This window comes from Homo sapiens, chromosome 16 (assembly GCF_000001405.40).
Source record: "Homo sapiens chromosome 16, GRCh38.p14 Primary Assembly".
Taxonomy (NCBI): domain Eukaryota; kingdom Metazoa; phylum Chordata; class Mammalia; order Primates; family Hominidae; genus Homo; species Homo sapiens.
In genome coordinates, this window is record NC_000016.10 from 10225191 (window position 1) to 10253119 (window position 27929).

General features: G+C 47.1%; 1 long non-coding RNA gene across 1 annotated transcript, besides 1 other annotated feature; it reads right to left on the bottom strand.

The window, feature by feature from the left end:
• Window positions 1-563: 563 nt before the first annotated feature.
• Window positions 564-27453, bottom strand: LOC105371078 (uncharacterized). The gene is made up of 3 exons (XR_001752077.1): window positions 27124-27453; window positions 2219-2401; window positions 564-800 (listed from the first exon to the last, which is right to left on the bottom strand). It is a non-coding gene; the product is annotated as an uncharacterized LOC105371078 (long non-coding RNA).
• Window positions 782-1829: an enhancer, noted in NCBI's record as "VISTA enhancer hs1242". NCBI's record gives its function as "enhancer in: neural tube[4/12] | hindbrain (rhombencephalon)[4/12]" and the evidence as "EXISTENCE:transgenic organism evidence [ECO:0001131][PMID:17130149]".
• Window positions 27454-27929: the final 476 nt, after the last annotated feature.

Sequence of the window (27929 nt, forward strand, 5' to 3'; positions counted from 1 at the left end):
GCCCTTCCTAAATTTGGAAAAATATAAAATTACTACTTTTTTTTTTTTTTTTTTTTTTTTTTTTTTGCTAGCGTGAGAATAAGAAGGAAGGCATCTCACTCTAATAAGATCGATCTGGGAGAGCGTTATCTACATTCCTGAGTGCAGCTCATTCAGTCATTCACTCATTCAGTCTCCAAATAGTTGCCGGTGTCCACATGCCAATAAGAAACAAGACTAAGGCCTAGTGCGGTGGCTCATGCCTGTGGTCCCAGCACTTTGGGAGAGCGAGGTGGGAGGATCACGGGGTCAGGAGTTCGAGACTAGCCCGACCAACATGCAGAAATCCCATCTCTACTAAAAATTAAAAAAAAAAAAAAAAAATTAGCCGCGCATGGTGGTGCATGCCTGTAATCCCAGCTACTCAGGAGGCTGAGGCAGGATAATCACTTGGACCCAGGAGGCGGAGGTTGCAGTGAACTGAGCCGAGATCTCACCACTGCACTCCAGCCTGGGTGACAGAATGAGACTCTGTCTCAAAAAGAAAAAAAAAAAAAAGAAACAAGACTGATATCATTCCAGTCTTTACGAAGCTGGCTGGCTAATGCCTACCTTTCAGAGTATGGTCCCGGACTAGCAGCACTGGCCTCTTCTTGGCACGTGTCAAAATGCAGATTTGTGGGTCCCACCTTAGACCAACTGAATCATAATCTCACCCAGGGGTTCACATTCAGGTTTCAGAAGCACTGACCTAGTACAATCTAATTTCTAAAGGTTTGCCACGAAGAAGGGCGGTCTGGAATTTCAATTTCACCCATGACCTACAGACAGAATCATTAAATAGAAAGATTAATAAAGTTAGCTATTTACAACCCAAACATCCCCACCTCACCAATGGAGATTATCAATCCAAGACATTGCTGATCTGTCTGATTGCAAAAGACTGTGGAAACCAGCAACTAACTCCACAATAGCGCTAAGGGAATCTGGGAGGTATTATACAACCATTTCATGATTCATCAGTATCCAGGGACCCTCCCAGGAAGGAAGAGATGGGTTCAAGTTGCAGGGTGAGGGTTTGGAGGAAAAGTTTGCTCGTCTTGGTACAGAAACTGAAAAGTCTCAGATTCCAACTCCAACACTCAAGCCCACTAATGGATGGATTGGCTCCAAGATCGGCAGGGTAACAGATGGAAGTAGAAGAAAAAAATATCATTTTCCCCAAACTTGCTGAGTCTGATGAAGATGTCGGAAGATTTGGATGCAGCCAGCATGATTAATCTTACCAACTTTACCTTGAGTTTCACTTTTGGCGGGGGAATGGCATCAGCTTAAAAGTTAATTACCAGCAAGAAACAAATCATGCAGCTGATGTGCACATTATAAACAAATTAAGTTCTTAAAATAGGCAACACACCACTTGGAACAATGGTTTACAAGCCCAAGGGTGCATGAAAATAATTGCGGAAGGTGAGGAAACTAATAGCTAAAATATGTGAATTAAATGAGGGCAAATTGCAGATATTAATGAAAAAGCAAAGGGAAACATGGTCAACCTCTCGTTTTGTAAACAGCAAGCCAAGCAGAACGATCCAGCATGCAGCCCCCTGTGGAATGAGGAGGGAGGCCCCTGATGGAGACAGGGCTCCCCAGAGATATAGAAGCAGCTGGAGTGTAAAGAATCAGGGCAAGAGGAGGGGGTGCCCAGCTGGGGAGGCTCAGATCAAAGCTGACAGCAGCAGAGCTCCACCACAAGAGGGTAAATTCAGAGGTGTGTGGGAGGCGAAGTTTCTTTCCATTGTAGAAAGTTGGAAATTAAGTCCAAAGTCTTCCATTGTATTTCCATTGCAGAAAATTAGAAATTCAGTCCAAAGTCTTCATTGTACAATTGAAGAGACCAAGCACAGAGAGGGAGGTAACTCTCCCAAAGTCACACAGTAAGTGTCAGAGCCAGCAGTTGAACTTTGGCGTCCTGACTGCAGGTCACACTTCCTTCCCATTCATCAGAGGTTCCAAACTCCTATGCCTACAGGGTCAGGCAGGGAGCAGAAATGCAAGAAGCTGGCTTGATGTGAAGACTATGAGCCACTAGGGTCCAACAGAAATCCAATGTGAACCTCATAAGAATTTTCTAATAGAAGGAGAAAAATACCTCCCAGATTCCCTTATCCCTAATAGCCACCTCAATTTGGACTAGCCACATTTCAAGACTCAATAGCCCCATATGGCTAGTGGTTACCTTATTGAACAGTACAGCTATACGCAGTGATGGGGAATGTTGAAAACCGGAGAAAGGGTGACCCATCTAAAATGGGATGGCAGCCACAATCCCAGCCAGGAGGGAAGGTGAAACCAGATGTTCAGTTTTCAAGAGAAGCCAGAAATCCAGATAGTCGTATGAAATCATTCAATGGTGAAACATCTGTGAAATGAAAAAATATTACTGTGCTACCAAGAACACATCTGATAACTGGAATTGGCATGTGGGCCCACGGTTTGCAGTCTCTCTCTCAAAGAAGCAAAGAGCAACTGCATTAAATAATCATCTTAAGCATCCTTAGGAACCTAGTCAATATCAACCACTTTTAGGGACAAATTCAAGTCCCAATTCTTACTCCTCCACTAGATGAAACTTAATGAGTTCATTCCCCTGAGCCCCAGTTTTCTCATCTCCAAAAACATGAACATGTTTTAAGGGCCCCATGGGAAAATTAAATGTAAAAGCAACTTGTCAATGTCAAAACACTGCACAAACATCATGATTGCTACTGGGACATGCTCAGAGAATAGGACATGGCTAACCATCACAATGACCTCTGGGACCCCACCAGGGTCTTGTCCCAGGGGTATTGTCCCAGAAACAGTAAGCTATCATCCCTGGGAATCCAAGCCCTGCTTGTCTGCATCCTGATCCTGAAGCTTAGAAGAGCTTTCTACAGGAAGAGTTTTCTGACTTTCTAGTCTCTTCACACTCACTGTAATCCATAATAGGCCGTATGTAGCCTTGGACACTAAATTCACCGATTCATTCAACAAACACCATTGAGCACACACCTTGCATCAGTCGTTCTGGGAACTGGGGATATTTACTGGAGAGGATAAGGTGGGCTCTGCACTATTCTGGCGAGTTCTTTGTGCCCAACTCTGTACACCTGCTGCCTTTCTCTGAAGACTGACTTTGGGCTATGGAAGCTCCGCCACTCATATCTGGGAATTTACATCACTGCCAGGGTAGTCTTTAACCACTGACTCATAGAGGCGGGATGGAAAGCCCAGCTTCTCCTGGACTCAAGGTGGCACAAACTCTAAGGTGTCAGGTACCCACCCCCCTCCCAGAGCATCCTGCAGAATCAGGCTGAGGCTGAACTTGATCTGAAATCTCACCCTTGCTTGGCTACTGCCCATTCTGATCTTTTTGTCAGTTTCTCTTGGAAGCACTTTCCTAATAAATCACTTGCCGATGAACCGTCATCTCAGGGCCTGATTCTGGAAAAACTTGACCTGGGGCACAGACATTGTTATTATCCATACACAGCCCTGCCCTCGGGGAGCTCTCCAGCTATCTGGAGAGGCTGATGTGCCACAAATCAGATAATGCTTCATTTGCCAGATAAACAAATACAGTCCTTTTGGGGAAAGTGCTGTATTTGTTTGGAAGGATGTTTTAACAAGTTCAGTGAGGACAAAATTGATTCCCTAAGGGCATGAATGCTGCTGGTGCCAAGACTTCAAGGAAAAAGGAGGAAACTGCTCTGTGTGTGAAAATGAGAGGGCTTTGTTTGTTCCCCAGAGCAGAACAGGAAGGGGAGTGCCAGGACCTGGAGGGGAGGCCACGACATGTGTGGTGTGATGTGAAACCTCTCATCTTCAGTGAGGTGGTGAACAGCATGCAGGCACAGGGGCTGGAGATGGAAGACACGGTTAGGAACTGTCCTCTTGAGAAATCTTAAGGAGGGATTTGGACTATGTCAAGCCATAGAGAATCAGGGGCATTTGAGGCCAGTTTGCAAGCTGCCACCCACGCCCACCAGGAAGACTACAGCAGCCTCCTACATGGTGTCCTGCTTCTATGCCTGCCCCCTCCCACACTACGGACTCCCCACCAGCAGCCAGAGTGAGCCTTTAAAATGCAACTAGGTCTTGACACCTAAATGTATTCAGTTCTTGAGGCCAGGTCATTTTGTGCCTCTAAAATCCTCCAATAGCTTCAAAGCCAGGCGTGGTGGCTCACGCCCGTAATCCCAGCACTTTGGGAGGCCAAGGAGGGTGGATCACCTGAGGTCAGGAGTTTGAGACCAGCCTGGCCAACACGGTGAAACCCCGTCTCTATAAAAAATACAAAATTAGCCAGGCATGGTGGTGCACACCTGTAATCTCAGCTAGTTGGAAGGCTAAGGCAAGAGAATCGCTTCAACCAGGGAGGTGGAGGCAGTGAGCCGAGATCGCGCCATTGCACTCCAGCCTGGGTGACAAGAGCAAAACTCTGTCTCAAAATAAATAAATAAAATAAAATAAAATAAAATCCTCCAATAGCTTCCCATTGCATTTAGAACAAAATCCAGAGTTCTTACCCCACCTTCATGGACTCTGTAAGATCTGTCTTTCTGATCTTCTGAACACACCCATCTTTTTCTGACCCCAGGGCCTTTGCACTGGCTGTTTGCTCTGCTTAGACCACTCTCTCACCCCCACCACAATATTCACAGGGTGGGGTCCTTCTCATTATGCAGCTCAAATATCATCTCCTCACTCGAGTCTTTCCTTACCACTGTGAATTTTAGCACCTGCCTCGATTTATTTATTTATTTATTTTTGAGACAGAGTCTTGCTCTGTCACCTAGGCAGGAGGACAGTGGCATGATCTCAGCTCACTGCAACCTCCACCTCCCATGTTCAAGCAATACTCATGCCTCAGCCTCCCGAGTAGCTGGGGTTACAGGCGTGTGCCACCATGCTTGGCTAACTTTTCTATTTTCAGTAGAGATAGGGTTTCGCCATGTTGGCCAGGCTGGTCTCAAACTCCTGGCCTCAAGTGATCTGCCTGCCTCAGCCTCCCAAAATGCTGGGATTATAGGCATGAGCCACTACACCGAGTCCCTGCCTCAATTTATATCACACGATCCTGCATCAGTTTCTTCATAACACTTATCATCCCCTGAACTTGAACTGTTGATTCATGCATTCAGGTGTTTTTTGTCTCCCTGCTTCAAGAACATAAGCCCCATGAAGGTGGGAGCCTTATTCTACTTACCAAAGTGTCTACAGAATCTGGCATATAGTTGGTACTCAACAAACATTTCTAGAGTGACCCGATGAGCCCCTGAGAGACAAGGGATCTCCAACAGGTATTTGGATGACACAAACAAGTGATGTTGACATAAGTATGCATCAGGCAAGGGTGTACCAAAGGCTGTGAGAGCCCAGAGGTGGCAGAGAAGGTTCCACAGAAGAGAGGATATTTGAGCTGAGCCTTGACAGGGTGGCCTTCCTCTTGTTTAGGGTGCCTTTACTGTTTCTCAACAGCTCTAGGCTCCTTATGACTCTGGATGCTCTGATTTTGTAGATGATGTTTCCTCTCTCTCTCTCTCTCTCTCTCTCTCTGTAAAACACTTCATTCTTCACCTGGCTCATTTCTGCCCACACTTCAGTTTTCAGCTTAAATGCCACTTACTCAGGTCAAGCATTCCCAGACCCACTGTCATTCAAATAATATTCTCCTTGCTGATCTCTCTGTAAGCATCCTATGTTAGTCATTCTTAGCACCCACTCTTTGGGTTTCCCCCACTAGCCTGTAAGCTCCATGAGGGCAGGGACTATGTCTGTCCTCTTCACCACTGTATCCTCTGCGCCTAGTGTGGGTGCCTAACACTCAGTAGGGGCTCAGTAAATATTTGTTGGTGAATAAATCTGTGGACAGATTTATTCATGGAAGAAACAGAAGACAGAGGAGAAGGGCATGCCTCAGCCTCCTCAGTAGCTAGGATTACAGGCATGCGCCACCACACCCAGCTAATTTTCATATTTTTAGTAGAGACAGGGTTTCGCCATGTTGGCCAGGCTGGTCTCAAACTCCTGACCTCAAGTGATCCACCTGCCTCCGCCTTCCAAACAATGCATTTTTGCACAGTTCTGGAGACTGGCAGTCCAAGATCAAGGTGCAGCATGGCTGGGTTCTGACAAGGGCCCCCTTCCTGGTTTATAGATAACCACTTTCTCACCAGGGGGACCTCACACGGCAGAGAGGGAGCAAGCTCTCAATGTTTTTTTTTTTTTTTTTTTTTGACAGTTTCGCTCTTGTTGCCCAGGCTGGAGTGCAACGGCCCGATCTTGGCTCACCACAACCTCCACCTCCCAGGTTCAAGTGATTCTCCTGAGTCAGCCTCCCAAGTAGCTGGGATTATAGGATTGTGCCACCACGCCTGGCTAATTTTATATTTTTAGTAGAGACAGGGTTTCAACATGTTGATCAGACTGGTCTCAAACTCCTGACCTCAAGTGATCCGCCTGCCATGGTCTCCCAAAGTGCTGGGATTACAGGCATGAGACACCTCACCTGGCCACATGTCTCTCCTTATAAGGGCACTAATCTCATCATGGGGGCCCCACCCTCATGACCTCATCTAACTCAAATTGACTCCCAAAGGCCCTGTCTCCCAGCAGAGTTCAAGGCAGAAAATACTGGTGCCCTTGGAAAGTCACAAATTGTTTGGTATGCTAAGAGAACAATGTGCATGGACAGAAAAGGCATGAGATGAGTAGGAGAGGCAAGGAGATGGGACACTTGGATGCAGCTTTCCATTATCCCTGTTTTCCCTGCCAACTTGACAGGTCCCCACAACTCTCCTCTGCACCTGCATTCCTTGAGTGATGAAGGAAGGAGTAGGTTTGCTTTTTCCAGGGTTTCCTGAGATAAGAGAAGAATAATCTCTGTAGCTGCCCAAGGGAAGAAACCTCCCACATGCCAAGAAGGCAAAAGATAAAGAAAGAGTGAACAATTGTTTCCTATGATGAGTTGAGGACTGGCTGGGCGCGGTGGCTCACGCCTGTAATCCCAGCACTTTGGGAGGCCGAGGCGGGCGGATCACGAGGTCAGGAGATTGAGACCATCCTGGCTAACATGGTGAAACCGTGTCTCTACTAAAAATACAACAAAAATTAGCCAGGTGTGGTGGTGGGCACCTGCAGTCCCAGCTACTGGGGAGGCTGAGGCAGGAGAATGGTGTGAACCTGGGAGGCAGAGCTTGTAGTGAGCCGAGATTGTGCCACTGCACTCCAGCCTGGGTGACAGAGCAAGAACCTGTCACAAAAAAAAAAAAAAAAAAAAAAAAAAAAAAGAGTTCAGGACCACTGTGGGTCTGGACCAGCAGACCAGGAAGCATGCTCACCCCAAAAGAGATCCAAAAAGAAAACCAAATGAGTTAGGTGAAGCTGTCTTGCTTGAGACTACCTAGTTTGTTCCCATGATAATGGCTTTCTGGAGAAGGATGATTGGATGAAGGATGCTTAAAATTCAGGAGACTCTGGGCAGGAAGACCCTGGGAGAGGTTTATTAGTCAGCTCGGGCTGCCCTGACAAAATACCATAGCCTGGGCAGCTTAAACAACATAAACCTGTTTTCTTGCAGTTCTGGAGGCTGGAAGTCCAAGATCAAGGTGCAGCATGGTTGGTTTCCAGTGAGGGCCTGCTTCCTGGTTTATAGATAACCACCTTCTCACTGGGACCTCACATGGCAGAGAGGGAGTAAGCTTTCACATGTCTGTTCTTACAAGGGCACTAATCTCATCATAGGGGCCCCACCCTCATGACCTCATCCAACCCTAATTAACTCCCAAAGGCCCTATCTCCCATCACACTGTGAGTTGGAGCATCAAGATATGAATTAGCAGGGTACACATTCAGTCCATACAGGAGGCATTTGTGATCATTCCAGTGGGAGAAGATTTGAGTCCCAAAGATACATACCACGGTAATCACCAGCACTGCTTACCAATATTTTCAGTTTTCTAGGCTCATGATGGGATACCATTCCCTGGGCCCTGTGCAGTTAAGTGGGGCCATGTGACTAGTTCTGTTCAGTGAGCTGTGAGCAGAGTGATCCGTGTCACTCCTGCCTGCAGCATCTATGTGGCAGTGCAAGACCCTCCAGAGCTCTGCATAGCATGGTCTTTCTCCAGGAGGCACTGATGTTTCTGCTCAACTCCCTTTTCCCTCCTTTCTCTCCTTTCCCCTCAATCTAGGGAAAAGCCTCACTCTTCTCAAACTGTAATTCTAATTCTAAACATTATGGAATTCCGAATCTTTTTAATTCTTCTAAGGACTTAGACTTTGGGACACTAAAGACATGCACTTGCAGACTTTATTCTGTTTTTTGTTTTTTTTTGTATAGTCCCATCTCCTCCCTCATGCAATGAGCCCAGCCAAATGCTTAGATTGGGACTAAAGGGAGCATGGAGAAAAAAAAGGAAAATAAGGAGAAAGTACATCAATGAATATTTCAAAAAATACTATTGACATCTTCAAATTCATGATTCATTCCTTTGTCATCTTTATTCTGCAATCAACCCCCTCCAGTGAATGTTTCATTTTAGACATCGTATGTTCTAGACCTAGAAGTTCCCATTGTTTCTTTCTTATTGTTCTATTTGAGGCTGAAATTTCTTATCTTTTCATTTATTGTGAGCAGAGTTGCCTTTACATCACTGAACATTGTTAGAATAGCTGCTTTAAAAATTCTTGCCTAGGCAAGGTGTAGTGGCTCATGCCTCTAATTCCAGCATTTTGGGAGGCTGAGGCAGGTGGATCACCTGAGGTCAGGAGTTGGAGACAAGCCTAGCCAATGTGGCAAAACCCCATCTCTACTAAAAACTTAAAAATTAGCTAGGCATGGTGGCAGGTGCCTATAATTCCAGCTACTCAGGAGGCTGAGGGAGGAGAATCGCTTGAACCCAGGAGGTGGAGGTTGCAGTGAGCCAAGATCACACCACTGCACTCCAGCCTGGGCAAAAGAGCGAAACTCTATCTCAAAAAAAAAAACAAAAAAAAAAAACAAAAAAAAACGTCTGGGTCACCTTGGAGTCAGCTTCCATTCATTGTCTTTTTGCTCAAGAATGGGCCAAAATTTCCCATTTGTTTGCATTTAGAGTAGATTGTATCCTAGATATTGTGAATATTACATTGTAGAGACTCCAGATTCTGTGCTATTTCTCCCAAGAGTGTTGATTTTTTAATTTGTTTTTGGAGGCAATTAACTTGGTTGGACTCAAACTGCAACTCTACCAGTGGGGCAGCAGCTTAGTTCTCAGACCATCTCTTTTAGCTTTATCTGGGCTGCTTACGGTTTGCCTGGTGCACAGATACTTCAGAGGTCACCCAGAGATTGGGGCAGACTTTATACACAGAGTTAAACCTTGCCATCTCCAGTTCCCTTTCCCATGAGAACAGATGTCTGCAACTATGTCCTCTGGCTGTTCAGCCAGATGGAGTGCAGGTTTTCTGTTGGAGTTTTAGCCACCACCACCCATCCTTTAGGTAACTGAGTTTTTTTTATTTTTTTGTTCAGGGATTATATTTGTTATCTGAGGGAAGGTCACCCCAATAGGCACCTACTTGGCCATTATCAGAAGCAAAATTCCACACTTCTCTTTAAAAGGGTGTTTAGCTCTTAGGAAAAGTCAAACCTGTGTCATAGTACAGAACAAGACTTTACAGACAAACGTCTCTCCATTCATAGTAGCCTACATCATTGTTTTTCACAGCCCCATGAAAATTCCATCTGGGATATGCAAGAGTCAAAAAACCCGTTCGGAAATGACTGGGTTTGCTAGATAATTTGCCAGTTTAAATCATAGCTTTGCTCCCATTTTACTGATAACGAACCCTGTGCTCAGAGAAAATATGGGGATTGGTAAAGTCTCAAGGTTACAAAGGAATGGATCTAGAGTTTGCTCTGAGGTGACTGGGATGTTTAACAGAGGCAGGAACTGTCCATAGAGATCTCCCGGGCCATACTCCTTAACTTTAAAAATCAGATTGTGTCTACCTTCTCTAAACAGCACTACTCAAGCTTTAGCCAGAAATCACACAGCTAGAAGTGACTGGGCAGGTCAAGAACATTGGGGTTGACTGGGCACGGTGGCTGATGTCTATAATCCCAGCACTTTGGGAGGCTGAGGCGGGCAAATCACGAGGTCAGGAGTTCAAGACCAGGCTGGCCAACATGGTGAAACCCCATTTCTACTAAAAATACAAAAATTTGCCAGGCATGTTGGTTCACACCTGTAATCCCAGCTACTCAGGAAGCTGAGGCAGGATAATCTCTTGAACCCGGGAGGAGGAGGTTGCAGTGAGCCAAAATCATGCCACTGCACTCCAGCCTGGGCAAAAGAGCAAGACTTTGTCTCGAGGAAAAAAAAAAAAAAGAACGCTGGGGTCCTACGATTCATTTCAGGGTCACCCCTCAATGTCACATTTAAAGGAGTTCACATGGTTCCAAGTTGATGGTCCTGTGTAAACCACAAACTTAGAGACCCCAGTCCCAATCTATCCACTTTAAAGTGTCCCCAATGTGCCTTTTAAAATTATAAATACCAGACTCTTTCTTACTCTGCTGGCAGGGTGATAAATTGCCTTGGTTTTTTTTTGGCAATACCTTATTAAAATTGTTTGAACCCTTTCACCAAGGAATTTCACTTCTAGGAACACAGCTTAAGGGAACAATCACAGAAGCACACTGAGATTCATGTACAAAGATGAACATTGTAGCATCATTTGTAATGGTGAAAAATTGCAAAGAATTTAAATGTCCAAAAGTAGGAAATGCTTAAATAAAATATGATACAGCCATACCATAGAATATTAATATGAAGCTGCTAAGAATCACGTTCCTGGAGAAATTTAAGGACGTAGGGAAATGCTGATGTCTGTAATGTTGAGCTAAGTAAAATAATGCAGAATGCAGCTTTCTATAAAATATGATCCCATTTATAGATGTGTGAATGTTTGTATATGCATGTACAGGTATGTATCTATCTTGGTTTATATCAGAAAAAATATGCAGCAAAATGTTAACAGTGATTATGTCTGGGGGTCGATATTATACATAATTTTTAAATTTTCTTGTTTTTCCATATCACTTTCTAAAATGAGTATGTAATGGCCTTAAAAGCCCAAAAAGAAATATTTAACCTGTAAATGTCATCAAGAGAAACCAGAGTGTGAAAGGGCAGACACAAGGTAATACAAACCATTACATACCGCAGTTTCAATTCTCCAGGAGAACGATGACATTTCAAATCAAATTAACAGCCATGTACCAGTTAACCTCTGCTACATAACAACTACAAAATCTCAGTTGATGAAAGAAAAAGCTCATGTGTCTGTAATTGACTGGAGCTGGCTAATCTAGGCTGAGCTCTCACTGGCATATCTCTGGCTAGGCTGGGACTAGGTGAGTTGGGCTGGGTGGTGTAGTGTCTTGTTCCACTTGCTTCCCATCCTCTTCTGGGACCAGTGGGCAGGTGCCCATCCAAGTTCTTCTCATGGTGATGAGAGAGGCACAAGACAGCAAGCCCCATCATGCAAGTGCTTTTCAAGCTTTTGGTGGCATCAAACCTGCTGCCGTCCCATAGGCAAAAGTGAATCTCATGATCAAACCCAAAATTAAGGGGCAATCCTGCCTCTCCAATGGCAGAAGCTGCAAGGGGACAAGTCAAAGATCATGGATACAGAGAAGAATGAAAAACTGAGCCATGCACTCAATTTGCCAGAGGTCACTATCCTAGTGGAAAGACGCTTGCATGTAGTGAGTTGGAAATCATGACTTCATAGGCCTCTTATTCAGTTAGAGACAGATTCCTCCAACTCCACCTTCAAAACCACCCACCCAAGACCTTTTTTTTTTTTTTTTTTTTTTTTGAGATGGAGTCTCACTCTGTTGCCCAGGCTGGAGTGCAATGGCGCGATCTTGGCTTACTGCAACCTCTGCCTCCCAGATTCTCCCTGCTCAGCCTCCCAAGTAGCTGGGATTACAGGCGCTCACCACCATTCCTGGCTAATTTTTGTAATTTTTAGTAGAGACGGGGTTTCACCATGTTGGACAGGCTGGTCTTGTACTCCTGACCTTAGGTGATCCGTTCACCTCAGCCTACAAAAGTACTGGGATTACAGGTGTGAGCCATTGCACCCAGCCCAGCCAAGACTTTTTGTTCCATGGATATCAAGCCAACTTTCTCACTGACTGGTCATTTGAGTTGTTTATTGTTTGGTTTGTTGGTTGGTTGGTTTTGTCTTTTTCACATCATTCAAACCATTAATTATCTCTGAGATGCCTGCTAATTTGTTCTGTTTCATGTTTCACTGTAGCAGAGTCTCAAAGACACATAGAAAAATAACAGTGTTCTGGAAGGCAAGCGATTTGCCCAAGGAGCATATAGGTCAATGCCACAGTGCGCAGCCACACTGACAGGGCACTGCAAGACTCCAGGGCTGTGCTGTCCAAATGGTAGCCACTAGGCACAGGCAGCTATTTATCTTTAAACTTTAATTAGTTAAAAATAAATGAAATTTTAAAATTCTGTTCCTCAGTCACACTAGCTACATTTCAAGTACTTAATTCCCACGTGTGGCCAGTGGCTATTGTAACGAACAGCACAAACAGAACAGGTCTGTCTTTGCAAAAAGGGGTAGTGGACAGCATGGGTCCACAGAGTGCCACTGACCCAAACTGGATGGTGCTCCCTGGAGCTGTGCAATCCAGCAATCCTGACACAGCGAGCCAGATCACTCATGCCCAGGTCTCCTGGAGCTCACGACAACTCTATCTGTGCTGAGTTTTTTGGTCAACAATTCTAAGGGCATTTGCTTTTTTCGCTCTTTCAACTTAATAAACGCATACCTGCTATTCGTCTACTTTAACCAGGTCCTGCCAACGCAATCCATCCTGGATATTTTTTCGCAAAGCAATGGGTTTCTTTGATGTTCTAGTTCCTATGCTTTGTAGCCTTTGTGATCCGGTCTTGAAGCACCTCTTGGTTTTCATCTCCCAATTCTTGCCTCACACTCTTGGCTGCAGTCATTTGTGGATCACCACACGTATATTGTGGTGCTCTATGGCTCTGGACTTTGGGAGGTTTGTTTTTTTAATTGATGAGGTATTGCTCTGTCGCCCAGGCTAGAGTGCAGTGGCATGAACACAGCTCACTGCGCCTCGAACCCTTGGGCTCAAGTGATCCTCCAACCTCAGCCTTCCTAGTAGCTGGGATTATGGGCGTGCACCACCGTAGCCAGCCAACTTTGGGACCTTTGGATATCTGGTCCCTGCAGCCAGAATGCTACTGTCCCACCTGTCACCTGCACTTTTAAAGCTGAGTTCCCAGCCTGCCCTCTGAAAGATGCTTTCCCTGACGACACTGACGCAGATGCTTCTCCTCCACTCTCGGGCCCCACAGTTCACCTGGCTTACGTTTATCCTCACCCCTCTGCTACCATCCTCTGGCTTCTCTTCCAGGCTATGGGCTCCCTAAGAGCAGAACATCTTGTCCAATTCAGATCATTAAAGTGGCCCCGGAGCCAGACCCACCCGGGTGTGAACTTCTGTTCCTCCACTTGCTGTCTGTGTACTCATAGACAAAGTGCTTTACCTTTTCTGTACCTCATTTTTCTCATTTGTAAAACGGGGATAATATTATGTAGGCGTTTTGGCCAGGTGCAGTGGCTGACGCCTGTAATCCCAGCACTTTCGGAGGCCGAGGAGAGAGGATCACTTAAGGCCAGGAGTTTGAGACCAGCCTGGGCAACATAGTGAGACCCTGTCTCTACAAAATACTTTAAAATTGCCAGGCATGGTGATGTGCACTTTTAGTCCCAGCTACTCAGGAGGCTCATGTGAGAGGATTGCTTGTGGCCCAGGAATTTAAGGTTGCAGTGAACTGCGCTCACATCACTGCACTCTAGCCTGGATGACAGAGTGAGACCCTGTCTCTAAAGAGAAAAAGAAAATCGGGATGTTTTGTGACTATATTAATAAGGGTTCTCCAGAGAAAGAGAACCATAGGTTAAATGTAAAAAAGGGGGCTGGGCGAGGTGGCTCATGCCTGTAATCCCAGGACTTTGGAAGCCCGAAGTGGGCAGATCACTTGAGGTCAGGAGTTTGAGACCAGCCTGGCCAACATGGTGAAACCCCATCTCTACTAAAAATACAAAAATTCACCGGGTATGGTGGTGGGCACCAGCTATTCCAGAGGCAGAAGCAGGACAATCGCTTGAATCCGGGAGATGGACGTTGCAGTGAGCTGAGATCGCGCCACTGCACTCCAGCCTGGGCGGCAGAGCGAGACTCCACCTCAAAAAAAAAAAAAAAAAAAAGTAAAAAAGGAGATGCACTAGAAGAAATTGGCTCGTGTAATTCAGAGGCTGATAAGTCCCACTCCCGGCCATCCGCAGGCTGGAGGCTCAGAAAAGCCTGTGCTGTAATTCAGTCCAAACTGGACGACCTGAGAACCAGAGGAGCAGAGTGAATGCCAGCCGGAGGCAGGAGAAGATGGGAATGAGAAGGGGCAAATTCCTCCTCCCTCCACCTTTGGTTCTATTTGAGCTCTCAACAGATCGGATGCTGCCCACTCACACTGGGGAAGGCGGATCTTCTTCACTCAGGCTACTGATTCAAATGCTAATCTCTTCCGGAAACACTCTCAGTCAGAAATAATGTTCTACCACATATCTGGACACTCCTGATCCACTCAAGTCGACATGTAAAACTATCACAGAGGCTGAACCGAGATGACACAGCTAGAAACTTAGAACAGAGCCCGGCACCCTTTAAAGGCCTGCTAAGTGTTAGCTATTGATCATATTGATCTTTTTTTTTTTTTTTTTTTTTGAGACAGAGTCTTGCTCTGTCACCCAGGCTGGAGTGCAATGGCATGGTCTTGGCTCACTACAACCTCTGCCTCCCAGGTTCAAGCAATCCTCCTGCCTCAGCCTCCCAAGCTGGGACTACAGGCACATACCACCTTGCCTGGATAATTTTTGTATTTTTAGTAGAGACGGGGTTTTGCCATGTTGGCCAGGCTGGTCTCAAACTCCTGACCTCAGGTAATCCGCCTGCCTCGGCCTCCCAATGTGCTGGGATTACAGGTGTGAGCCACCGCGCCCAGCCTCTGTTGATCTTTATATTGCGAGATCTGGCATACAAGAGGTGCTCAGTTATTGCTGCCTGGATTAATAAAATGATAGGAAACTCGAACTAGTTTTTAAAAAGACCTCATGACTTGTCATGGTGCTGCAGAAGCCCCAGGCACTTTTAAGTGGTCCCTGCTAAAGGAACTGGGAACAAAACTGCTTATTATCACCAAGGAGGAAGTATAGGTCTGTGTCTGGGATGGTTTTCCCTTCAGACAATCGTAGCCAGGGAACGACTCCAGATTCCCTTAAGAGGCTGCCCTCCTAGCTTTGAGCATGGTTAAAGACTTCCGCAAAGTACTTCCATCATCAGACCAGTTTTGAGGCAGCTTAAGGTCCTGTCAGAATAATAATCCTAAAATGCCTAACCTGGATTGGGTACTTACTATGTGTCATTGATTCTCAAAGGGAGGCAATCCCCCCACACATACGCCCTGTGGACGTTTATCACATTTTTGTGTATCACACTGGGGGGAAGGGGGCAGGCTGCTACTGTCATCTAGCAGCCAGAGGCCAGATTGCTGCTAAACATCCCACACTGGCCAGGACAGCCCCCACGATAAGGCATTATGTCACCCAAAATGTCAATGTCAAGGCTGAGAAACTCTGTTGCATTCCAAGGCATTGAGCATTGTGTTATCTCATTTAATCTCCATACTGATGTTATGAGTGAGGCACTATTATTACCACCATTGCCCTGTTTTCCAAAAGAGGATGCTAAAGCTCAGGTATGCAAACTGCCCAAGGTCATACAGCAAGAAAGTACCAGACAGGCCAGGTGCAGTGGCTCATGACTGTAATCACAGCATCTTGGGAAGCTGAGGAGGGAAGAACGCTTGAGGTCAGGAGTTTGAGACCAGCCTGAGCAACATGATGAAACCCTATTTTTACAAAAGATACAAAAATTAGCTGAGTATGGTGGTATACACCAGTAGTTCCGCTACCCAGTAGGCTGAGGTGGGAGGATCACTTGAGCCAGGGAGGTGGAGGCTGCAGTGAGCCATGATGACTCAGCACAACAGAGCGAGACCCTGTCTCCAAAAAAAAAAAAAGAAGAGTGGCAGAGACTTGATTCACACACAGGTGGCGTGCTCTCAATGGCTACCATCTATTGGGACCAACACACCCTTTAAAGCCACGTGGTGTAGCAGTGAGAACCCTGGTTCTGTCATCAATAGACCTGGGGTTGGAACCCTCGCTTGGTTTCTCAGTGGCCATGGATATTAGTCTGTTTTTATACTGCTAATAAAGACATACTGAGACTGGGTAATTTATAAAGGAAAGGGGTTTTGATGGACTCACACTTCCATGTGGCTGGGGAGGCCTCACAATCATGGCAGAAGAGGAGGGAAGAACAAAGGGACCTCTTCCACGGCAGCGGGCAAGAGAGAGTGTGCCGGGGAACTCCCATTTATAAAACCGTCAGTTTTATAAACCTCTCATGAGACTTATTCAATACCATGAGAACGGTATGGGGGAAACTGCCCTCATAATTCAATTATCTCCACCTGGCCTCGCCCTTGACACGTGGGGATTATTACAATTCAGGGTGAGATTTGGGTAGGGACCCAGCCAAACCATAGCACTGTGTGATCTTGGGCACAGTGTCCTGAAGCTCTCTAAGCTTCTGTCTCCCTATCTGTAAAATGGGGGGATGACATCCACCTTGTAGGGCTGTTACAGGTAAAATCTGACAATGAACACAAAGCCCACGACAGATTGTCTGACACTCACTAAATGGTAGCTGCTGCTGTTATTGTTGTCATCATCCACATAACTATTATTATTCCCATTGCCTTGGTGCTGGAGGCCCAGATTCCCTCCCACCTGATCCTAAGGAAACAAGAACTCAGTTTTGTAGCTGGTCCCAGGGAGCCAGCTGGCACTCAGAAACCAGTGAGATGCTGCCTTCCCAATGCCAGATTTCTCCCTTACAGAAGGCAGCCGATGCTTTGGGAAGCTGCAGCAGTTCCCAGGGGAAGACATGTGTTGCTCAGGGCCTCACTGCTAGGAGCCAGAGGCAAGAACATGACCTGCAGCAGGCGGCTGGGCCACACAGGCTGTTTCCTCTCTCCCTGGGGAGCCATTCCCCCTGGTTCCTCCATTGAGAAGCACCAGGGTCCTTCACTGCAGAAACCAGTCATCCACTGGACCCACCCCGGATTCATGCTGCCCTCAGAGACTCTGTTACCCAACACGGGAGGAAAGCCAAAGGAAGAACAGAATTCTTTAAAGAGAAAAATAATTTCTCTCTCCTAACTCTCTAGGACTGCCTATCTTTTGGAAGGTGCCAAGAGAATGCAATGCCAAAGTGGAGAGAACATGCTAGAAAAGTTTCCAAAACATGGGAGCTGCTGCTGATGAGGGCAGGGCTTTCATGAGGCCTCTCAGACCCCCAAGACCACCATCAATCACTTCATGTCCCTACTAATAACAGTAATAATAATAAGACCCAGCACTTGTAGCCCACTGTGTGTCACACACTGTTATAATTGCATTCCATGCGTCCTCTCCAATCCCTGTCATCAGTGTGCCCATTCAGAGGCCTGCGCATCAAGACATAAAAGACGTTTCATAGGGGATAAATAGGAATACGTAAGCACTGGCCACCACCATCATCCGTTATTACTACAACTATCACTATGACTGCCATCCTGCAAGAGAAGTGTTTATCTTCGTAGAATAGTAGGGCAAACGCAGGCTCCAAGAGGGGGATTTTCCCAAAATCACAGAAGAGGTGGGATAGTCCAGTGGCTAAACCAACAGGCTTCAGCGCCAGTGGCCACTGTTCAAGTTTTGATGTGACTGTTTAGTAACCACATGCCAACTTGGGGAAGTTCCTTCCCCTTCTGAGCTTTCAGTTTTTTCTCCTGCAAAATGAAGAAGTAGATTCAAATACAGGTTAGGTCAGGCTCAGTGGCTGACACCTGTAATCCCAGCACTTTGGGAGGCTGAGGCAGGAGGATCGCTTGAGCCCAAAAGTTCGAGACCAGCCTGGGAAATACAGCGAGGTCTCGTCTCTACAAAAAATACAAAAATTAGCCAAGCGTGGTGGTGCCTGCCTGTAGTCCCAGCCACCTGGAAGGCTGAGGTGGGAGGATCACCTGAGCCTGGGAGGTCGAGGCTGCAGTGAGCCATGTTCACACCCCTGTGACAGAATGAGACCCTGACTAAGAATAATAATAATAATAAAATTTTAAAAAACAGGTTAAAGTAATGATTCAACCTGATTTTTTTTTTTTTAGTTAAAAACTCAGCTCTAAAGTTCAGGAAGTAGAAGTTAGATGTTCTGTGTTTTCTGAAGATAGAATCCTCCCTGCCCTTAAGAAAAGAGGAAAGAACTGGCCGGGCGCAGTGGCTCATGCCTGGAATCCCATCACTTTGGGAGGCCGAGGTGGGTGGGTCACCTGAAGTCGGGAGTTTGAGACCAGCCTGACCAACATGGAGAAACCCCATCTCCACTAAAAACACCAAAAATTAGCCGGGCATGATGGCACATGCCTATAATCCCAGCTATTCGGGAGGCTGAGGTAGGAGGATCGCTTGAACCCAGGAGGCGGAGGTTGTGGTGAGCTGAGATTGCACCATTGCACTCCAGCCTGGGCAACAAGAGCGAAACTCCATTTCGAGAAAAAAAAAAAGAGAGAGAAAAAGAAAAGAGGAAAGAACTTTCTATTGCTAACAATATGTTAGTTAGCTCTGTTGTTAATGGTCAGTGAGGATCCTCTTGATCTGCCATAAAGGCTACTACGAGAGACAAGACATTAGCAAGACTGGGGTGTAGAGGGAGAAAAAACTAGGGTGGAAAGGAGAGGCTGGAGAGGAGACAGAGGAAATTCAACACCAGACGCCTTGAGCCGAGTGTAGATCTCAAATGAGACCAATGCCCAGGAAATGCCAGGTGAGAGGTCAAGAGAGCGCAGACAGGAACTCCTGGCATGCCCCGGGTCTCTGCTACACCAAAGGCTCTCCTGGTGAAAACCACTCCTTCTCAATTGAGGGAAGAGGCTCTACCCCATGGTCAAGGTCTGCATTCCCACCATTGTACGGATGCTCCAAGAGCACATAACCTCCCTCAACAACAACACGCCTCCCACCCCAGACAACCATAAGACCCAAGACAACCTCTGAACACCAAGTAGGGCAGTGAGGAAGATGCCCACCCCTATATAGGGGGGTAAAGGGGTTCCTACGCAGGCATCCTGAGCTAGGACAGTGAGAGAAGGAGATGCTACTATTCTATTAGCTATCACTGTTGTCATTATCTCTTTCTTATTTTATTTATTTTATTTTTTGAGACAAGGTCTCACTCTGTCTGTCACCCAGGCTGAAATGCAGTGGCACTATCATGGGTCACTGCAGCTTTGACCTCCCAGGCTCAAGTGATCCTCCCACCTCAGCCTCCCATGTAGCTGGGACCACAGATGTCCGCCACCGCACCTGGCTAATTTTGTTTCTTTTTTGTAGAGACAGGGTCTCACTATGTTGCCCAGGCTGGTCTCGAACTCTTGGGCTCAAGCGAGCCTCCTGCCTCAGCCTCCCAAAGTGCTGGGATTACAGGCACGAGCCAACATGCCCAGCCGTCATTATCATTTTCATCATCATCTCAGGCTGGGCTGCAGACTGGTGAAGGATCCTCTGAACTCTGCTCTCAAGTCCCTCCAAAGCTGCTGGCCCTCCAGCAGTGACCACTTTCCCCTGCCCAGCCAGACACCTGGAAGGAAAGCCATTGTTGCTGTTTACCACCCCGCCAACCATGCGGCTGGTCGGCAAAGACTCCACTGACCGGCAGGAAACGAGGAGTGCAGGCGGTAGCCAGGTCCCTGCTTGCTCTGCCTCTGAGGCAAGGGGGTGGTGCTGGGGGAGGACAAGGCTTTTATACACAAAGCAGATGCACCATAAACTCATGCTCCCTGGGCACAGACACTCCGGGGGAAATGCTGCCGATTTTACCCACTCATTCCTCTGAAAATAACTGCACACACTATCTGCCAAGTTTCCGGAACAGAACAAGCGCTGAGGAATAGGGAACTGATGGAGAGAAGGAGTTTAGGATAGTAGGAAGGAAACCACATTGCTCTGCCTGAGAACAGGTCTCTGAAAGGGAAAAAAGTATCTGCAATGGACTTTATCTTGTCCAGTGCTTTTAATAATAGCAATGCTAGTTGCTATCATTTTTAAAGCAGCTACTCTGTCTTGGCTCTGTGCTTCATATACATAAAATTCCATTCAATTCTTCTGGTACTATTAGTGTCTCCATTTTTATGGATGAGTAAAGTGAGGCTCAGATAGGTTCAGTAACTTCCCCCCAAGGTCACACAAGATAAAATAGCAGAATCATGATTCAAAACCAGGCCCCTCTGACATCTGAATTCTTCCACTATACTCAGCTCCCTGCCAAACAATTTGTTCACCTGTACCTCTCAATAATAGATGGATTGGGCCAGGTGCATTGGCTCACACCTGTAATCCCAGCAATTTGGGAGGCCGAAGTGGGCGGATCACCTGAGGTCAGGAGTTCGAGACCAACCTGGCCAACATGGTGAAACCCCGTCTCTACTAAAAATACAAAAATTAGCTGGGTGTGGTGGCACATGCCTGTAGTCCCAGCTACTCAGGAAGCTGAGGCAGGAGAATTGCTTGAACCCGGAAGGTGAAGGTTGCAGTGAGCCGAGATCACACCATTGCACTACAGCCTGAGCGACAAGAGCAAAACACCATCCCAAAAAAAAAAAAAATGATAATAGACAGATGGATGGATGGAGATGGAAATGGAGAGAGAGAGAGAGAGAGAGAGAGAGGATGAGGTGAAAATATCTATGAAGAATATAAAACATATCTCTACCATTCACTTTCGTAGATGAGCTGAAGTTCCCAGAAATTAAATAAAAATTGCTCTAAGTCACTCAGTTATTTGGAATCAGAATTATCAGCCTCTCTCCTTTTTTTTTTTTTTTTTAAGACAGGACACCACAGCTGCCTAACACCTTTCAGACTCACTTTGGAGTTCCAGCCTCCAGAACTGTGGGCCAATGAACTTGTGCTGTTTTAAGCCACTAAGTTTGTGCTAATTTGTCACAGCAACAAAAGGAAAATAACGCAATGGGCTTCTTAGCCTAAGATAAAACTGTACTTCACAAAATAGCGAATAAAAAGATATTTTGGGTCTGTGTTACATTCATGCAAGAGGAGATGTAGGCCAGCCACAGTGGCTCACGCCCGTAATCTCAGCACTTTGGGAGGCCGAGGCGGGTGGATCACCTGAGGTCAGGAGTTTGAGACCAGCCTGGCCAATATGGTAAAACCCTGTCTCTACTAAAAATACGAAAAATTAGCTGGGCGTGGTGGTGGGTGCCTGTAGTCCCAGCTACTCGGGAGGCTGAGGTAGGAGAATCACTTGAACCCGGGAGGTGGAGGTTGCAGTGAGGCAAGATTGTACCACTGCACTCCAGCCTGTGTGACAGAGCTAGACTCTGTCTCAAAAAACAAAAAGAGGAGATGTGAAAAAAGAAGCAATGCGAAAGGAGAGACAGAGAAACAGATATAAATATAAACAGGAACAACAGAAGACAACAGATAGCTTCTGTTATGAGCACTGAATTGTGTACGCTGCCCCACCTCCATTCGAAAGGCATGTGGGATGTGGTGGCTCATGACTATAATCCCAGAACTTAGGGAGGCCAAGGCAGGAGGATCACTGGAGGCCAGGAGTTCAAGAACAGCCTGGGCAACAGAGCAAGACCCTCCCACCTCAGCCTCCTGAGTAGCTAGAACTATAGACACACATCACCATGCCTGGCTATTTATTTTTAATTTAATCTAATTTTTCTAAAAAAGATATATGGAAGTCCTAACCCCCAATACCTCTGAATGTGACCTTATTTGGAAACTATGGTCACTGCAAATATAATTAGTTAATATGAGGTCATAGTGGCGTAAGTTGCATCCCTAATCTGGTATGACTAGTGTTATTATAAGGGGCAGCCACTTGAAGGAGGAGACACACAGGGAGAACGTCCTGAGGCTGAGACTGGAGTTCTGCAGCTGCAAGCCAAAGAACACCAAAGATTGCTGCAGAAACCACTGGAAGCTAGAAAGAGGCAAGGGAGGATTCAGAGGAGGCATGGCCCTGCAAACACCTTGATCTTCTGGCCTCCAGAACTGTGAGACCATACATTTCTGTTGTTTTAAGCCTCCAAGCTCATCACACCTTGTTACCATAGCCCTAGGAAACCAATACACCTGCTTTCACAAGGTCCCAGCTACTGTACTTTTGGGGATACTGCTGCTAATCATGTTGCATTTTTGCAGGTCTAGGCATATATTTCAGCCCCTTACCTCCAAATCAAAGTTTACCATATTTTCCTGTTTCTGAAATTTCCTACCTCAGGTATATACATTTCATATAATCTGACTTCCTTTCTTTTTTTTTTTTTATTTTAAGAAACATGGTCTCACCCTGTCACCCAGGCTGCAGTGCAGTGGTGTGATTATTCCCATGTCAGGTTCCCGAGTAGCTGGGACCACAGGTGCATACCACCATATCCAGCTAATTTTTAAATTTTTTGTAGAGACAGGTTCTCACTATATCGCCCAGTCTGGTTTCAAATTCCTGAGCTCAAGCAATCCTCCCACCTCAGCCTCCCAAAGTGCTAGGATTACCGGCATGAGCCACCATGATAAGCCCCTTCCTTTTTCATAACCACCAAAGGCCATGTTTAAATTATTGGTGCATCTTATCATCAAGAGCATTTTTTTTTTCTTTGAGACAGAGTCTCACTCTGTCACCCAGGCTGGAGTGCGTTGGCGTGATCTCAGCTTACTGCAACCTCCGCCTCCCGGGTTCAAGCAATTCTTCTGCCTCAGCCACACAAGTAGCTGGGATCACAGGCATGCACAGCCATGCCCAGCTAATTTTTGTATTTTCTAGTAGACACAGGGCCATGTTGGCCAGGTTGGTCTCAAACTCCTGGCCTCAAGCAATCCTCCCACTCCAGCCTCCCAAGTAGGTGGGATTATAGATGCATGCCACCATGCCTGGCTATTTTTTTAATTTTTCGTAGAGATGGGGGCCTCGCTATGTTGCTCAGGCTGGTTCAAACTCCTGGCCTCAAGTGATTCTCCTGCCTCATCCTCCTAAAGTGTTGGGATTTCAGGCATGAGCCAATGTGCCCAATGTTTGATTTTTTTTTTAAGTGTGTGGCAGGGGAGAGGTAGAAAGATAAAATAGGGATGAATGGGTGGATGGAAGGATGGATAGATAGATAGGTAGATGACAGATAGATATTTGATTGATTGATAGACAGAAACACAGGTAACTCCAATGCCATCAGTCACCAGTTTACAACAAGGACAGAGAAACTTCCAGCTCAAGCCATCTCACACTTTACTTTGAGGACCAAGCACATCCCCAGTAGAGTTACACAGTTGTTTTTTTTGTTTGTTTGTTTGTTTGTTTGTTTGTTTTTGAGATGGAGTTTCACTCTGTCGCCCAGGCTGGAGTGCAGTGGCTCAATCTCGGCTCTCTACAACCTCTGCCTCCTGGGTTCAAGCAACTCTCCTGCCTCAGCCTCCCAAGTACCTGGGATTACAGGCGCACACCACCACACCCAGCTAATTTTTGTATTTTTAGTAGAGATGGGGTTTCACCATGTAGGCCAGGCTGGTCTCGAGCTCCTGACCTCAGGTGACCCTCCCACCTCAGACTCCCAAAGTGCTGGGATTACAGGCCTGAGCCACCGCACCTGGCTGAGTTACACAATCTTGCAGGAGAAAAATGTGATTACTTACCAGGCATAAGAGCTGCTGGGGAGTGGCTCTGTGGTTAAGTCACTCTGTGGTCTTATTTCCATTTGTCTCTGTTACATGTCTAAAGAAAGTAAGGTCGACCAGCCGCGGTGGCTCACGCCTGTAATCCCAGCACTTTGGGAGGCCAAGGCAGGTGGATCACCTGAGGTCAGGGGTTCGAGACCAGCTGGCCAACAGAGTGAAACCCCGTCTTTACTAAAAATACAAAAATTAGCTGGGTGTGGTAGCACATGCCTGTAATCCCAGCTACTCGAGAGGCTGAGATGGGAGAATCGATCGAGCCCAGGAGGTGGAGGCTGTAGTGAGCCAAGATCACGCCATTGCACTCCAGCCTGGGTGACAGAGGGAGACTCCAATTCAGAAAAAGGAAGTAGGGTCAACGAGATGCCCAGAAAAGAGTGGGGATGGAGGCGCACTCCCTGAAGACTCCCAACGGGGAGGAGGGGGAGACGGGGATTACATACACCCCACCCTTCTGCATAGCACTTGTCCCAACTGTAATTCAGTAACAATTGGTATCATCATCCAAGGATTATCTCCCTCCACGGACCATAGATTCCATGCCAGCTGCCCCCTGCATGTCCTGCCCACTGCAGCATCTCCAACAATGAGCTGGGGTGCTCATTACTTGTTTGTTGAATGAATAAATGACTGTAGGTAATAACTGCACTGTCTGAACCAGGATCCCAACAAATGAGGCTGTGACACATGAGATGCCCAGAGGACAGCTGAAATCAAAGCTGCCTTTAAATATCTGGGCTACATCATCACCTTCTGTGGGGTCAGCTTTTCTTCTGTCGGCTTAGCTTCATCATCTCGTGCCTCAATGCTAAGGGGTCCGCTTTGTCTCTCTCGGTCCCGGCCATCTCCAACCCAGGAAGGAATGTGGAAAATGGGGCTTGAGAAAGCAAGTCAGGGTGCTCCGGGCCATGTGGAATCAGGGTCTGAAAGAACACCAGAGCCACTCAGACAAACGTGTAGACCTGTTTGGCATCTTTATTTTCCTTCTAAGTACCAATTACTCATCCTGGGCCCAAATGGTGGCAGGTTTCCTTCCCCAAGGGGATAGATTGCAGAAACCAGAAGAGAGAGGTGGGTAGGGGGGAAGCTGAGAAGGGCAGGAGGGGAAGCCTGCACAGCACCTTCGCTGCTAACTAGGCGAGGGGGAGCATTGGAGAGCTGCTACCTCCAGGGCAGCTGCAGCCTCCTGCAAGGTTATCTGTGGCGGGCACAGGCTCAAAAGCAACGGGGCAATAAAAGTGAGTCATTGTCACCCAGCATGAGCCAACTCAGCCACTCGGGGCTCGGTGAAACATGTCCCCAGATGCAAAGTTACTCAAATTCTGGAATGAGTTTTGCCTGAATAAAGGACATTAAAATGTCCGTGCCCATAAAGACCGGCTGCTGTGCAGTGCCAGCATGGCTGATGGAGCCAGGGTGATCAGCTGACAAGCACCACCTGAAACGAGCTTCGGGCTGGAGACAGACAGTGCCATACCCTCTAGAGACATCTGTCCTCAGGCTCCTAACCCAGCTCTGTGGCTGCCTGGCTGTGTGCCCTTGGGCAGGGACATCACCTCTCTGATCTTCGCTCCTCTAAATGATCTCTAAGGGCCCTCATACACGGAAATTCCATGTAACAGCAACAAAGAGCCTGTGTGTTACTCTTCCCAGGGTTGGTGTTTGCATTTTAACAAAAAGTGTCTGCACTCTCCAGCAGCCTACTGATGAAGTGTACAGGTTCCTGAATCCAGTTGTTCAGGTTCAAATCCCGGTCCCGTCATTTATTAGCTCTGTGACTTCAGGCAGGTTGCTTAACCTCTTTGAGCCTCTGTTTCTTCACACCAAGGATAACACAACCAACAGAAAGGCAGGGAGTCTTATTCCAAATACGCAGGTATCCACCTTTTGATTGGGTTCCCCAGTGATTCCAGGCATCTTTTGGCTAAGGTTTCTGGAACCTTCTGTTTGGAGCAGAAATTGGAGCATCATACTGGCTACTGCCATTTGCTGTGCGGATAAGTTTGCAGAGGCCCTCAGCCATCATGCTCGCTCTCTCTCATTACACTGCATTTTCTCCTTTGTAACATCTACTATGATCCAGAATTACCTAGTAAATTTATTTACTCATTTATTATCCATATCTCTCCCCTGGATTTAAGCTCCATGAAATCACAGACCCCATCTAGCTCATGACTATCGATTCCCATAGCATAGCATCAGGCACACAGCAGGTGCTCAATACACCTGTGGCTAAACGAACAAATGAACGGATGAACGAATGAATTGCCCTTATCTAGATGCTTCTCACCTCAGCCTTCCCAAAGTTTCTCCGTATCCCTGCTTTGCAAAAAAGGAAACTGAACCCTCTGGGGTGGAAATGACCCAAAGTCACAGGGCAGTGGCTGGTACACAGGTCTGACTAACTCAAAACCCCACGTGTCACCCCCTTCCAGGAAGGTGTAGACAGAAGCACCAAAAAGGGGTTAGGGGCAGGAGCTTTGGGTCTGTCCAGCCCAAGTTCCATTCTAGCACTCCTTGGGCAAGTCACTTAACCTGAGGCTCGGTGTCCTCATCCACAACATGATGATGATACCATTAACATGTTCTTCATCAGAGTGAGAGTCTCAGGACGATTAAGCCTACTTTGCACAGCGCTGGGCACAGAGCAGGCCCTCAATAAATGGCAGCTGTTGTTCATTACTACTTCTACTGCAAGCTTTTCATTTTTTTTTTTTTTTTTAATTTTTAGTAGAGACAAGGTCTCACAATGTTGCCCAGGCTGGCCTCGAACTCCAGAGCTCAAGCGATCCTCCCGCTTACGCCTCCCAAAGCACTGGGATCACAGGCGTGCACCACCATGCCAGGCCTACTATGTCCTTTCCAAAAACCACACGGGGCTGGCCTCTTTGCCCAGCTCACCATTTTCTCTCTCATTTCACTCCCTCCTTCTCTCTGCCACCTCCACAGAGAAGCATCCCAGCACCCAAGCAAACCCCTTCCGCTCTGTTTCACTCCCCCCAGGCGGAGCCCACGCGTGGGGTCTTGTGCGCGTGGTCCCGCGGCAGCCCACAGCCCTCTGCTCTCCGTTTCAGGCTGTGCACCCCGGCTGTCCGCACTCCCGGGCCTCAGTCCTCCCCAGCCGCCCCCTCCACCCACCTGCATGCCTGTGGCACGAGTGGGCACACGTGTTCCCGTCGCATGTGGAGCCCGCACCTGTGGGAGGAGAGCCAGCCCGGGCTGCCGCCGCGGCGGCTGAATCAGGACAGCAAATCTCGCCACCCCCTCACTCCTTAATCCGTTGCAATCTGGCTTCCTCCCTACGCTGCCCGAAGCTGCCCTAGCCGGGGTCGCTGATGATTCCCACGCACCAAGTCCAGCATCTTCTCTACGGTCTGGTCCGGGTGTGTCGCTTGGGAACGTCTGATTTTCATGACCACCACCCCACCAGCACTCCCTCCGCTAACTCCCTCCTCCTCGGACCCTGCCTGCTCCCCTCGGTGCCTTCCCCACTCCATTGTGGGCCCTTCCTGTCCAGATTCTCTCACTCCCACACCTTTCCGCCCAAAGAGCATTTATGGAGCTCTTGCCCTGTGCAGAACGTTGCTGGCCTTGAAGGGGAGCAGGCGGACCCTGAAGGAGGCGGTGAGCTCCTACAGTGGGGGCTCAGACTGCAGCTTCGGTGGCCTGCAATCCGTTCCCAGCTCCTGGCCAGGTGCAGTGGCTCAGCCTATAATCTCAGCACTTTAGGAAGTTGAGGCAGGATTGCTTGAGCCCAAGAGTTCGACACCAACCTTTAAATTGTTTGCCTTTAAATTTCATTAAATTAAATTTCTTTTAAATACAAAAAATCCTGGGCTTAAGCAATCCAGGAGGCCAATTGGCCCTGCTAATTTCATTTAAATTTTTCGTTGAGATGGGTCTTGCTGCGAGACCCTAACCCTAACCTAACCCTAACCCTAACT